Raw genomic sequence first — 13,206 nt, 5'->3', positions numbered from 1 at the left:
AACTTTTTCTCTAAATGGGTCAGATAGTAACCTCTACTTTATAGTCCCTAATCAGTGTGCCCACCTGTAGACATAGAAACTTTAGTGGTTCCTAGGGGCAGAGAGGGTGGGAATCAGGCCTTAAAGAGAGGCAGCAGGAGACATTAACTTTGTGTAATTGTACTCTGATGTACTAAGACTTAATGACTTAGGTTCCTTAGCATCTATATCTTTTTCCAAAGCTGCAGCTGTAATTCATTTTACTATTTCTCCTAAAGAGTGTCCATTCAGTGTTATTATTATTCATCAAATAGGTTTTGCATGCTTACTATGTGGAGGGCAAGTCATAAGATCTGTAAGAGGAATTTCTTGGATCCCTTTCTTTATGGCGCTCTTAGTCTAGGGGAGGTGTTAGAGGCAGGATGATGGACACTAAGAAAGATGTAATTATAAAACTGTTAAGTTATGGCAACATTAACTGATAGTCAGGATGCAGTGCTTCCCAGGAGAAACACTGTGCTCCTTTGACCCCATGAGTGGAGTTGTCAGAGAAGTCTCAGTGAAGAGGCACATCTAAACTTCTGTAGGGGGTCAGAGAAGAGACAGCAATTTATTCAGTTTGGGATTGATGAAAGTATTGCAAATGTAGGCGGCACTACTGCCTTTACAGAAGAGTTAGATTTCACCAGGAAAGAAGGAAGGAAAAGGTACTCTAAGCAGGAAACACAAGAAAGGCATGAAAAAAAATTTTTTTTAAAGTATGTGATATGTGTGTGGGATATGTTGAATACCCTTGGGTTGCTTGAAATAGAATTTTGTGTCAGCAGGGGAGAAAAAGGTAGGGTGAGGACAGCTTGTGATATAAGATGGATGGTACAGTTGAGACCTAAGCAGGAGGAAAAGATGAAATATTTTAAAAAGAATTTTTTTTTACATTGTAGTTCTCTGGTACTTAAAATATGTAATATATGCAGTAAAAATTATTGGGTTCTTGGTGTGTGGAAGGAAAGTAACAAATAACATCATGTTTTGGTTATCTGCCATACATAAGCACTATTGATGGTATTATTGTTAATGACTTTGTGCATTCATAGGTGTTTGCTAAATAAGTGTTCTCTGTAAAAATTTCTTTTCAATGGAAATTCTTGCTTTTATATGAACATGTTAAAATTCTTTTGGCTTTCTACAAAAGAAATGGATTGCTGGGTGATAAATGCCAATTTAAAATGTTACACTACTTTGATTAAAAAATCATAAAGAGTTGCTTTCTAATTTTCATGATTTTTAGCTAGCAGCTGGTGAGTAACTGCTTTTTTTTTTTCCTTTTTTTCTTTTTTTGAGACGGAGTTTCACTCTTATTGCCCAGGCTGGAGTGCAATGGCACAATCTCTGCTCACCACAACCTCCGAATCCTGGGTTCAATGATTCTCCTGCCTCAGCCTCCCGAGTAGCTGAAATTATAGGCATGCGCCACCATGTCCGGCTAATTTTGTATTTTTAGTAGAGATGGAGTTTCTCCATGTTGGTCAGGCTGGTCTTGAACTCCTGACCTCAGGTGATCCGCCCGCCTCGGCCTCCCAAAATGCTGGGATTACAGGGGTGAGCCACCACGCCTGGCCAAGTAACTGCTTTTGAAGCAGTTGGAGCTCCCATTTGTGTCCCAGAAGAACATCTTACTGATGAAAATAAAGTAGTGGTTGTGCTAAATGACTGAAGAATGGACAACGAGATAAAGCAGAGAACAGAGATAGAGTTCCTTATGGCAGTGGGCCAGAGTCCTACTGACATGTACAGATAACTAAAGAAAGCGTGTGCTGTGTATCTTGTGCTGTCAGATAGATGCTGACTGAACCGTGCTAGTTAGGGAGACCAGCCCTTCAGCCGAGTACACGGTTTCATCTTTGCAGTTAGGCTGCAGGACTGCTGCTGTATTTTCATCCACCGGAGCTTAATATAATTTTAAGGATTATGTGGGTGGAGGCTTAGACTAAAGTAAAGTGAGTGTGCTGTTTATCACCAGCAAAGAGTATGCTTTGTCTTGAGAGAGAGACACTGAACTGATGTTCTGTCTTATTGTTTGTGTTTTCAGACTTAATATGGTTACTGTTCAAACTACTATATATCTTTGAAAGATTCCCATTGATATGTATTCCCATCAAAAAGAATTACTAAGTATATAACTAGATATAAATGCCTTCAAATTTTGAAGACATGTCTGTCTAATGCTAAAATTAATGCACTTTTATTAATCTGATAGTGCCCCTAAAATACACAAAACTTTAACCAGCTGTATGTCTTAACTAGTTTAGATAAAACCATCAGATTCTTAAGCTATGTAGACACAGCTGGACCACCAAAAAGAGAGTTAAAATTTTATAATATAAATGCAGCCTAAATTATCAGCATTATTACTTTTCTATTTATTTTAAATTTGGAGAGAAAGGTTAAAAGATACTTCTGATTGAATAAATTGTGTTGATGGCAGTAGGTTTGCTTTTTGATTGTATATTTGGTTTTAGTTAACAAGAAATCCTGTTACTCAATTCTGTAATCTACTATTCTAGTACTCTTCTACCCCAATCACAAGTTTTATTGCCACCGTTTTGGAAAGAAAGCACTCTTATCTCATGTGTCATTTCTCTGGGTGTTAGAAACTGAATTTAAAGGACTATTAAGTTGCAGCCGAAGCCGAAGACTGGGCCAGTCAGACTTTTTTTTTTTTTGTTAATTGCACCTTACTTATTGGCCCTGTTTTCAATTTTGCTCTGTGGAAACACCCAGAGGACCTCTGTGGTGTTCTTGGGTAGCATGTATTCTGTACACAATTTGGCCCTCTAAAGTGAGGTCAACAGTAAAAAATATAATTTAAAAATTAAGCTAGATGAGTTCAACCAGTAATTTTTTTTCTTGCTACTTGAAAGTTAGATTATCCATTAGGTTATAATTTTCTTTGTTATGTTGTTGATCTGGATAATATATGATTCAGTGTAATTTTTTCTTTTCTCATTGCCTCTTTGCTTGTTCTGAAACTGCTGTTAAATATATCATTGAACCTTGTTTTCTGGCCTCCATAATATATCTTTAAAACTTCTTTGCCTCTGCAACTTTCTAGTTAAATTCTTCATTATTATTCTCTAGTTTATTAACTCCTTTTCAATTTTTACTGTTTACATTTTATCTCTTACTCAGTTTTTCATTTCCATTGCTTATTTTAAAATTATTTAAAACTTACTTTGAGTTAAAATATTCATTCTTTAGCTTTTAAATTCTTTTTCATTTCCACCTAGCCTTGTTTCACTTCTGCTTGTTGTGATTTTTTTTCCCTTTATAAAAGAAATTTTACTCTTTTATAAAGAGTAAAAGAGTGGCTCACGCCTGTAATCCCAGCACTTTGGGAGGCTGAGGTGGGTGGATCGCTTGAGGTCAGGAGTTCAAGACCAGCCTGGCCAACATGGCAAAATCCTGTCTCTACTGAAAATACAAAAATTAGCTGGTGTGGTAGCGCACACCTGTAATCTCAGCTACTTGGGAAGCTGAGGCAGGAGAATCGCTTTGAACCTGGGAGGCGGAGGTTGCAGTGAGCCGAGATTGTGCTACCCTAGCCTGGGTGACAGAGCCAGACTCTATCTCAAAAAAAGAAAAAAATTTTAAGCATACTATTTTCAGGCTTTTCTGTTTCTATTTTGTTTGAAGGGATTTTGTATTTCAGTTGCTGTGTTTTTATTCGTTTTCTTTATGTCATGGTACAGCTTTGACTGGGAAGTCCCCCCACTCCCCACAGTCCCTTCTAGTGGTTTTGCACGTATTCTTAACTGCTTCTCCCTGTTGCCCCCACCCCCACCAAGGTCTTAGATTGGCAGCAGAGGGCACTTGTCTCCCACTGATGGTAGATACACCTGCATCTTTGTTCCAGTTGGCCAGGCAGTGGGATAGTGTGGCTGAAGCCCTAGTATTCTCACTTTCCTAGGCACTCAGTTTCTGAGAAGACATACTTCCTGAAAGTCCACACAGCTTACTTACCCCCAGGCAGCTGTTAGTAGCAGTTTGTTTTCAGCCCAATTTCGGCCTCAGTCCCTTATCTTAGGTGGGCCACTTTTATTCCTGTTTCTATAGGATCTGAAACCTAGGCCTTCACTGGTTCCTTCTGAAACCAGAGCCTAGCAGCCCTATACCTTCTGCCCACTCTCTGTTACATATTTCTGTTTCATGGTGATGCTGGTCTTTTTTAGTTAGGTAGGTCTTTAAAATGTCTTCTCCAGGATTTTGCCTGTTGTTGCTTTGTATTTGAAACAGGGTGGGTTTTCAAAGCAATTTATGATGCCATCTTGATTGGAAGTTCCAGTAAATTAAAAAAATTATTTCTAGCTTATTATATTTCAGTCATATTTTATTTTTAACAAGCTTTTGATTTTTTAAACAATCTTGTGAATCTTTTCATATTCTCTAGAACATATAAATATTTCTCTTTATGCAGTTCAGCCAAAGTTTATTTAGCATTGTGGGCTTAATATTTTCGTGATGCTTTTGAATGTGGTTAAGGTGAATTTGATCAGATGGATTGAGGATTTGTAGATGAAGTAGTCCTGAATGATTTTTACTATGATTAGGAAATACCCTGTACTTAAAAAGAAGTAGGGGTGGCTGGGAGTGGTGGCTCATGCCTGTAATCCCAGCACTTTGGGAGGCGGAGGTGGGTGGCTCACCTGAGGTCGGGAGTTTGAGACCAGCCTGACCAACATGGAGAAACCCTGTCTCTACTAAAAATACAAAATTAGCTGGGCGTGGTGGTGCAAGTCTGTAATCCCAGCTACTCAGGAGGCTGAGGCAGGAGAATCGCTTAAACCCAGGAGGTGGAGGTTGCGACGAGCCGAGGTTGCACCATTGCACTCCAGGTTGGACAAAAAGAGCGAAACTCTGTCTCAAAAGAAAAAAAGAAGTAGGGGTGTGGGTATAGACAGGGTTATTTTTTTGTTTTTTGTTTTTTTAAATACCCTTCCGTCATCTTCTCTTCTTTTGTCATTTACATCTACATCTTTAAAAATTGGAGATAGGAAATATTCTGATTGAGTAAACTTATTTAGGTTCTGGTAAAGTTTTGTAAATTGCTGAAAGGCTGGAAAGTTAATTGGAGCTTTTTAATAGTGAAATTGAACTTTGTTAATGTCTTTTTGCTAACTACTTTGATCAGCTTTAATCTTTGACTAGCTTCTCATTGAGTTCATTCATAAAGGTATTTCTTAGGAGACTGATGTACAGTGATCGGTTTACTTGTGAGTTACATTCTTTGGACTGGATGTGATTCTTGATTGTGACTCCTACTATTCCCATGATGATTTCCTTTCTCTAGAGAAGCAGATATGTGGTTTTCATTTCTTTGTGCTTTTTCCTTTGATTTTGGGGACTCTGATTATTAGTAATTAGAAATTCTTACCTTTTTTTTTAAACAAAAATAGCGAGGTATTAGTGATTATTAGGAGTTTTTTTTTTCTGAGAGATTTCTACTTTACACTAAATCTTCATCTTGACCAGATTTGACAATGCATTTAGATAAACTACTTGAGAATTTTTTTGGAAATACCGAAAAATAATTAGATGACTCACATTTCAAGTACTTCTAAAACAGTAAGTTAATATGTAGACCTATTCTCAGTTGATATTTGTGCTTGAGTTTAAAGTTTAGATGTTTTGTTCCTAAGACAAAGCATGGACAATATAGTACTTCTATTACATTGAAAAATATTTTTGATTATTTCTAAAATAAATAAGCTTCAGGTTAAAAACTTAAAATTATTAAAGACAGGATTTTGCTTTGTTGTCCAAGCTGTAGTGCAGTGGCATGATCGTAGCTCACTGCAGTTGCAAACTCCTGGGCTCAAGCCATCCTCCCACTTCAGCCTCCCAAGCAGCTGTGACTACAGGAGTGAGCTACCATGCCTGCCTAATTTTTGTTTTTTTTGTTGTTGTTGTTTCTTTTTGAGAAGGCGTCTTGCTCTGTTGCCCAGGCTGGAGTGCAGTGGCATGATCTCGGCTCACTGCGAACCTCCGCCTCCCCAGTTCAGGCGATTTTCCTCTGTCAGCCCCCTGAGTAGCTGGGACTACAGGCACGTGCCACCATGCGTAAGTTTTTGTATTTTTAATAGAGACGCGGTTTCACCGTGTTAGCCAGGATGGTCTTGATTTCCTGACCTGGTGATCTGCCCGCCTCAGCCTTCCAAAGTGCTGGGATTACAGGCATGAGCCATGGCGCCCGGCCCATGCCTGCCTGATTTGTAAATTTTTTGTAGAGACAGGGTCTGCCTGTCTTGCCCAGGCTGGTCTTGAACTGCTGAACTAAAGCAGTCTTCCTGCTTTGGCCTCCCAAAGTGCTGGGATTATTGGAATATTAGAAATAAGGGTCAGGGTTGTTTTTTTAATTATTCCTTAAATTGTTCTTGTTATTGTCCTGGAAATGGAAGAGTCTTGAACTGTCCAGCTTCCTGAGTAGGTTGGTATAAAGACTTTGACATATTTATGTTTCCGGTATGTCTAATGTGACTTAAGGATGCACTGCATCCCTAGAATAAGTCCTATGATGTTACAGAGAATAAAACCTTTATACTAATAAAGTATATATTGTTAACTGAGATTTTATTTCTCTCATTAAATGTGTTTAAATGAGATTTTAAGTTTCATTTCTTATTAGCTTTGTTTTTGCATTTATATTCATATTTATTTTCTCCTGTGTTTACTCTCTTAGATTAAGCAATTAGAAATTGTGTTACATTTTTCTTCAAAACAAATATAACTAACAGATATTAGACAGTTAAATTTCCCCAACTATGTTGGCAGTTTTCAAATGTTGACATACATGCCATGACATTTGGGAGGCAAGAGAATGCTTGGCTACATAAGGGATGGGGTCTGTTCATAGAAAGGGAGATGTGGATCCAGGGCACTGGTTGTACAAAGGCAAAAGCCACCACCCTTCCGTTGCCCTGAAAGTTTATTTTATTGCTCTCTTTTAATTGTTTTAGTGGGCATTAAATCTTAAAAAAATTTAACCATTATCTGCTTTCCTAGCATTTGGATATTAATATTTTAGCACACTCATTTTAACTACATTCTATTGTCATTAAGATAATTAATACCATTTTAGGTAGAATAAAAATTAATAGTTTGTGTGTATTCTCTTCTTTGCCTTCCCTTTGATAGTTCCTCGGTGATTTGAAAATAATTTGCCTTTTTTACTTTTGATGCTATAGTACTTTTTAATTAAATGTAGATTTTTAAATTAATTAATTAATGAATTAGGGATGGAGTCCCACTGTGTTGCCCAGGCTGGTCTCCAACTCCTGGGCTCAAGTGATCCTCCCATCTCGGCCTCCCAAAGTGCTGAGATTATAGATGTGAGCCACCGGGCCTGGCAAAACGCATATTTCTATGCTCTTAAAAAAATTCTAATTTTTTAATTTGATAGTTAAAAAGAGATACATGTGGCTGGGTGCTGTGGCTCATGCCTGTAATCCTAGCACTTTGGGAGGCTGAGGTGGGTGGATTGCTTGAGGTCAGGAGTTTGAGACCAGCCTGGCCAACATGGTGAAACCCCATCTCTACTAAAACACAAAAATTACCTGGGCATGGTGGCGGGCGCCTGTAATCCCAGCCACTAGGTAGACTGAGGCAGGAGAATTGCTTGAACCCAGGGGGTGGAGGTTGCAGTAAGCCAAGATTGGGCTGCTTCACTCCAGCCTGGGTGACAGAGTGAGACTTTGCCTCAAAAACAAAAACAAAAAACACAAATAATAGATGCATGTTTAAATTCAAAGTTTGATTATTGTTACCCAGTACTGATCCTTGAGAGCACCAATGTACTTAATAAACTGTAAATAAATAATAGTTAGAAGGTAGAATTTTGTTTGAAGTATTTGACATTACTGTTACATTCCAAATACTGAAGTATTTGGAAATTACTGTTCCTTGACTGAACCAAGCAGTGATTTTCTTTTCTTTTCTTTTCTTTTTTTTTTTTTTTTGAGACAGAGTCTCGCTCTTTTGCCCAGGCTGGAGTGCAGTTGTGCAACCTCTGCTCACTGCAACCTCCGCCTCCTGGGTTCAAGCACTTCTTCTGTCTCAGCATCCCGAGTAGCTGGGACTACAGGCACGCACCACCACGCCCGACTAATTTTTGTATTTTTAGTAGAGATGGGGTTTCACCATATTGCTCAGGCTGGTCTCGAACTTCTGACCTCAGGTGATCCACCCGCCTTGGCCTCCCACGGTGCTGGGATTACAGGTATGAGCCACTGTGTGCAGCCCCAGTCCTCAAGGTAAGCAACAGAAGCATCCCAGGATAGGAAAGTCTCATACTTTGATTGACAAGGTCAAATTGTATCGTTTTCACATGTTTTTAAAAAAGTACTTGTACATCACAATTTATACTGTAATTAAAACAAGTAAACCTTTAAAAGCATGAAATGCAAAGGAGTACTTAGTTTTGATTAATTGATTTAACAAAAAGTATGAGATTGTTTGACAGGTTGCCTAAATGGTAATGTTTTGGATTGCTTCCTGAAAAAAATAGGGCTTGAAGCTGTTGATGTAAGGCATATGTTGCATAATAAGGAGGAATGTGTTTTAATTCAGATTTGATGTAGTGAGCAATTTTTCTGTATTCACAAGTTCCATACTTAACAAAAATGAACCTACTTGAAAACTATTTCAAAGCAATAATTCATTAATTTCCTTTGCAAATTTTGAGAAGGTCATGTTCAAACATCAAACATAATAATCCATAACAATCCATCAAACACAATAATCCATTGATGATTATCAAACATAATCATCCATTCATGATTTTAAAAACTCTCAGAAAAATTGTAGTGGGAGAACTTGATAAACTTGTATCTGTAAAACTTGAGAAAGAGCATCTACAAAAATCCTATAGCTAAGATTATTCTTAATGGTGAAAAACTGAATAATTTTCTTCCTAAGATCAGGAACAGGACAAGAATGTCCACTCTTGCCATTTTTATTCAATATAATACCAAAGTTCTAGCCAGTGCAGTAAGGCATAAAAAAGAAATAAAAGACATACAGATCAGAAAGAAAGAAAACTGTCCCAGTTTCCAGATAACATGACTGTTTACATGGAAGATCCCAAGGAATCTATTTAAACTTCTCCCCTCCCCCCAAAAAAACATCTAGAACTAATGAGTGAGTTCAGCAAGGTCACAGGGTACAACAAAATAAACACACAAAATCAATTGAACTTCTGTATACTAGCAATGACCATATGTACACAAAAATTAAAAATACAGAACCATTTATAATTGCTCAAAAAAACCCTTTAGGTTTAAATCTGACAAAGGTCTTATAACTCTAAAAACTACATACAGCTTTTCAACCATTGCTATTGGAGTGGTTGCACATCCATAGTCCAAACAATGTCTCCTGACCTGTCTCAAACTTTATGCAAAAGTTTATTCAAAACAAATCACAGACTGAATGGAATAAGTAAACTATAAAACTTTTGGGAAAAAGAAATCTTTGGCATCTAGGATTATAGTTCTTAGAACTGATACCAAAAGTACAATCCATAAAAAGATAAGTTGGACTTTATCAAAATTTAAAGCTTTTGTTCTGCAAGAAACCCCTGTGGGAGGAAGAAAAGATAGGCTACAGAATGGGAAAAAATATTTGCAGACCGCATGTCTGACAGAGAGCTAGTACTTGTATATATAGAGATTTCTCAACGCAAAGTATTAAAAAAAAATCCAACTAGTCCAATTAGAAGATGGGCAAAAGATACGAAGAGATATGTACACATGGCAAGTAAGCATATAAAAAGATGTTCAGCATCATTAGTTTTTACCAAAATTGCCATTTAAAACTACAGTGAACTATCATTACACACCTGACAGAATGACTAAAATGAAAAATTAGTGACAACACCAAATGCTGGAGAGGATGTTGCTGGAGGGTGTATAAAAACTGTTTGGAGTTTCTTAAAAAACAAAACATGCCAACTATCATTTAGCAGTTGTATTCCTGGATATTTATCCCAGAGAAGTGAAAACGTATGTTTGTGCAGAAACCTATACGTAATGTTTATAGCAGCTTTATTTGTAAAAGCCTAAACTGGAAACAGCCCAGGTCTCCTTCAGCAGATGAAAGGTTAAACTGTATATCCATACAATATAATACTACTGGGTAACAAAAGGAACAAAGTCTTGATATACAGTAACCTGGATAAATCTCCAGAAAATGATGCTGAGTGGAAAGTAAAATCTCAAAGGTTATATAGTGTATGATTCCATTTATGTAACGTTCTTGAAATGACAAAGATACAGCAAAATTAGTAGTTGTCGGGGTTTAGGAGGGGTGGAAGTGGGAGGAAAGTTGGTGAAACTATAAAAGGGGAACATGAGGCATCCTTGTGATGGAAATAGTCTGTATCTTGACCATATCAGTGTCAATATGCTGGTTGTGATGTTGTACTACGGTTTTGGAAGAGTTAGCATTGGGAAAACTGGGTTAAGGGTACACTGAATCTTTTGGTATTATTTCTGACAGTTGCATGTGAATCTCTGACTATCTCACACAAACTAAAACTTAATTGAAAATTAATGTAAGTGAATTACTTTTCCCCTTACTAGCTAGGGACTCATTTGCCGTTTTACCTAGCTTGTTGGCATTTGTATATATTGCTGGGTATATAAAATTTGAACTGAGATCACTCTGTTTCTGTGACTGTTTTCATTCTTTGTAAGTTGTTGAAAATTGAGGATCTTCAATGTATCCTTTAATTTTGGTGTAGATTTCTTTCCCTGTACTTTTTTACATGAATACTTATGCTCAAACTATTCAAAAACATGGTTTTAGAAATGTAAAATTGGTTTTGTTAGCCATAATATAGTTAACTTATTCCTTTATGTTTATAATTTCTTTTCAGGATTAATAATAGCAGCTGTGACATGACAGTGATTTTTTTTTTTAATAATTTGTTAATTATGTTATGTAAAATGTAATACTGGTGAGGAGCCAGTAATGTTGCACAGATTATCGTAGTCCTGAAAAACCACAAATAAATCCAATGAATGAGTGAGAAAAGTGACACTGTTGTTGGCACTCTGAAATTCTGCAGGGACTTACATTGTGGCTAAAATCAACCCTACCTTCTTGCTGTGTTCAAGAGGCTTTTCACTGATTTCTGTTGACAGGAAAAGCCTTTTTTTTTTTTTTTAACTTATAAAAGAAAAAGAAAAAAAGCAGTACCCTCCAGGCCCTGTGTATTATTAAGATCTTTTAGTAGCGAGTTGCTCTTTCTCTGGGAAATCGGCTGTTAAAGTCAGAGGGAGCTCTTAATAGTTTGCATGGTATTTGATTAAATGGAACAGTTGGATCAGTACAGATTCCAGATTTAATAGAGCAGATACTCACTTCTATACATCCCCTATGATTAGCATAGTTATATCTTCTATATTATAGAAATATAATTTTAGGATATACTCTTGTACATTATAAAATAAGCATGTTAGAGAAAACCTGATAAATTGAACTTTTGCAGAGAAAGACTTAAAAGCATATGACTAAAATATAACTTCTACATAAAACAATATGTGTCCAGCATTGTGGGATAGTTTATAGTTCTGAGGTGATCTATTAAACCATGATACTGGAAGAAATGACAATGATAGACACTGACATAGGAGCATTATTTGTGTGTCAGGCTTTGTTTAAAGCACTTTTTATGTATGAACTCATTTTATCATTACTGTGAGGTAGGGACTATACTATGATTTCCTGCTGATTGACAGGAAACTGAAGCATGGAGAGGTCAAGTAGTCTCTCAAACCAAAGAACACGTAAGTGAGAGAGGAGGGGCTCTGGCTCCATAGTCCTTGGTCTTAACCACTATTTTGTATTGACTTCCATAGAGAAAATAGCCCACATTATAGCTATGATAAAATGCAAAATTTCACTTTATAGGTAATAGCCTGGAATCGGTGAGCTGGAGTCATTAAGGCAGTTCGGCAAAAACAAAAAACATGGGGGCAAGTGTGGGTAGGAAAGTGCTAGCTGCCTGAGTACAAAGCATTGGGTATTAATAAACATGCTGTGTGCGGCATAGCAGGAAGCAGCTGTTTGGAGTTGAAGGTTTGTTTGGGAGAGCAGTAGAAAAGATGGGTTTGATTAGTTATAGAAAGAATTTTGAATGGAAAAGTGTGGACTTGGGAACACATTTTCTAGGTTGCTGTTGAGAGGAACAACAGTGGTACATTAAATATGGACTTTTAGAACTAGAGGAAATTATAAAAGTTATTATTGGATCTGTGCTCTTCAGTGTTTCTGTGTCTACCCTGTTTTGTGTTTTAGGTTTTGACCTTTTGCTCCAGCTTGTCCAGGGACAGAGTGGTGTAGTGAAACAAAAGCAGTAAACCAAGTATCACAAAGCTTGGACTTTAGTACCAGCTTTTGCACTTTCCTCACTGTAAAGATGTTGTATGGGTTACTTAACCAGTTGGGGTTTAATTTCCTTGGCTGTATAGTGGACTTAGTGTCACATGCCTACCTCAGGATTTCTGTGACAATTAAATATGATATTTTAAGGCTTCTAACTTACTGGATCTAAATAAATTATTCCTGGAAAAAAAAAGTTTGCTGTGTAATAAAGCACCTAAACAGGAATGAAAAAGCAGGTATAGAACTTCAGGTGTTTTGTCACCCTCCCTCCCCCAGTGGTGTGTGTAGGAAAACTTTGCTTCTTTCTGTAAATCTGATGTCTAATCTCTTCTGACTTTACGTTCAATCAGTTGATTATTTTCATTCAGCAGATGTGATCGGTTTGCAGGGTTCTCAGTCAAGTAGGATAGAGAAAACATGAAGATACACAACTAAATAAAATGCTATATATAAAATGATGTTTTATGCAATAATTATAGCTATGCTATGTTAATTCAGCAATTATTGCTGCTTTGGGGAAATGAGAAGGCTTTGAGGAGGAGGTAGTATTTCAAAATGATGAGGTTTGAAAGAAGTATATGATGAAATGCAGAAACGAAGAGGTAGCGTATTTGTTTCAGGAGAAGGGAATAGAATGAATAAAAGCATAGAGAAAGAAAAGCATATGATGGGCTGGGCCCGTGGCTCACGCCTGTAATCCCAGCACTTTGGGAGGCCGAAGTGGGCAGATCATGAGGTCAGGAGTTCGAGACCAGCCTGAGCAACATGGTGAAGCCCTGAGTCTAC

The 13,206-nt window shown here is 37.2% G+C and overlaps 1 protein-coding gene across 6 annotated transcripts in view, besides 2 other annotated features; it reads left to right on the top strand.

Moving 5' to 3' along the window:
• Window positions 1–13,206, top strand: part of MED13L (mediator complex subunit 13L) — a 319,118-nt gene that overhangs the window by 78,611 nt on the left and 227,301 nt on the right. The window lies entirely within an intron of this gene.
• Window positions 1,605–1,899: an enhancer, noted in NCBI's record as "tiled region #4680; K562 Activating DNase matched - State 5:Enh". NCBI's record gives its function as "activates a minimal TATA promoter and a strong SV40 promoter by Sharpr-MPRA in K562 cells {active_cell/tissue: K562}" and the evidence as "EXISTENCE:reporter gene assay evidence [ECO:0000049][PMID:27701403]".
• Window positions 1,605–1,899: a silencer, noted in NCBI's record as "tiled region #4680; HepG2 Repressive non-DNase unmatched - State 23:Low". NCBI's record gives its function as "represses a minimal TATA promoter and a strong SV40 promoter by Sharpr-MPRA in HepG2 cells {active_cell/tissue: HepG2}" and the evidence as "EXISTENCE:reporter gene assay evidence [ECO:0000049][PMID:27701403]".

This window comes from Homo sapiens, chromosome 12, assembly GCF_000001405.40.
Source record: "Homo sapiens chromosome 12, GRCh38.p14 Primary Assembly".
NCBI classification, from domain to species: Eukaryota; Metazoa; Chordata; class Mammalia; order Primates; family Hominidae; genus Homo; species Homo sapiens.
Note: the sequence above shows the minus strand (reverse complement) of the source record. Positions and strands in the feature narration are given on the sequence as shown.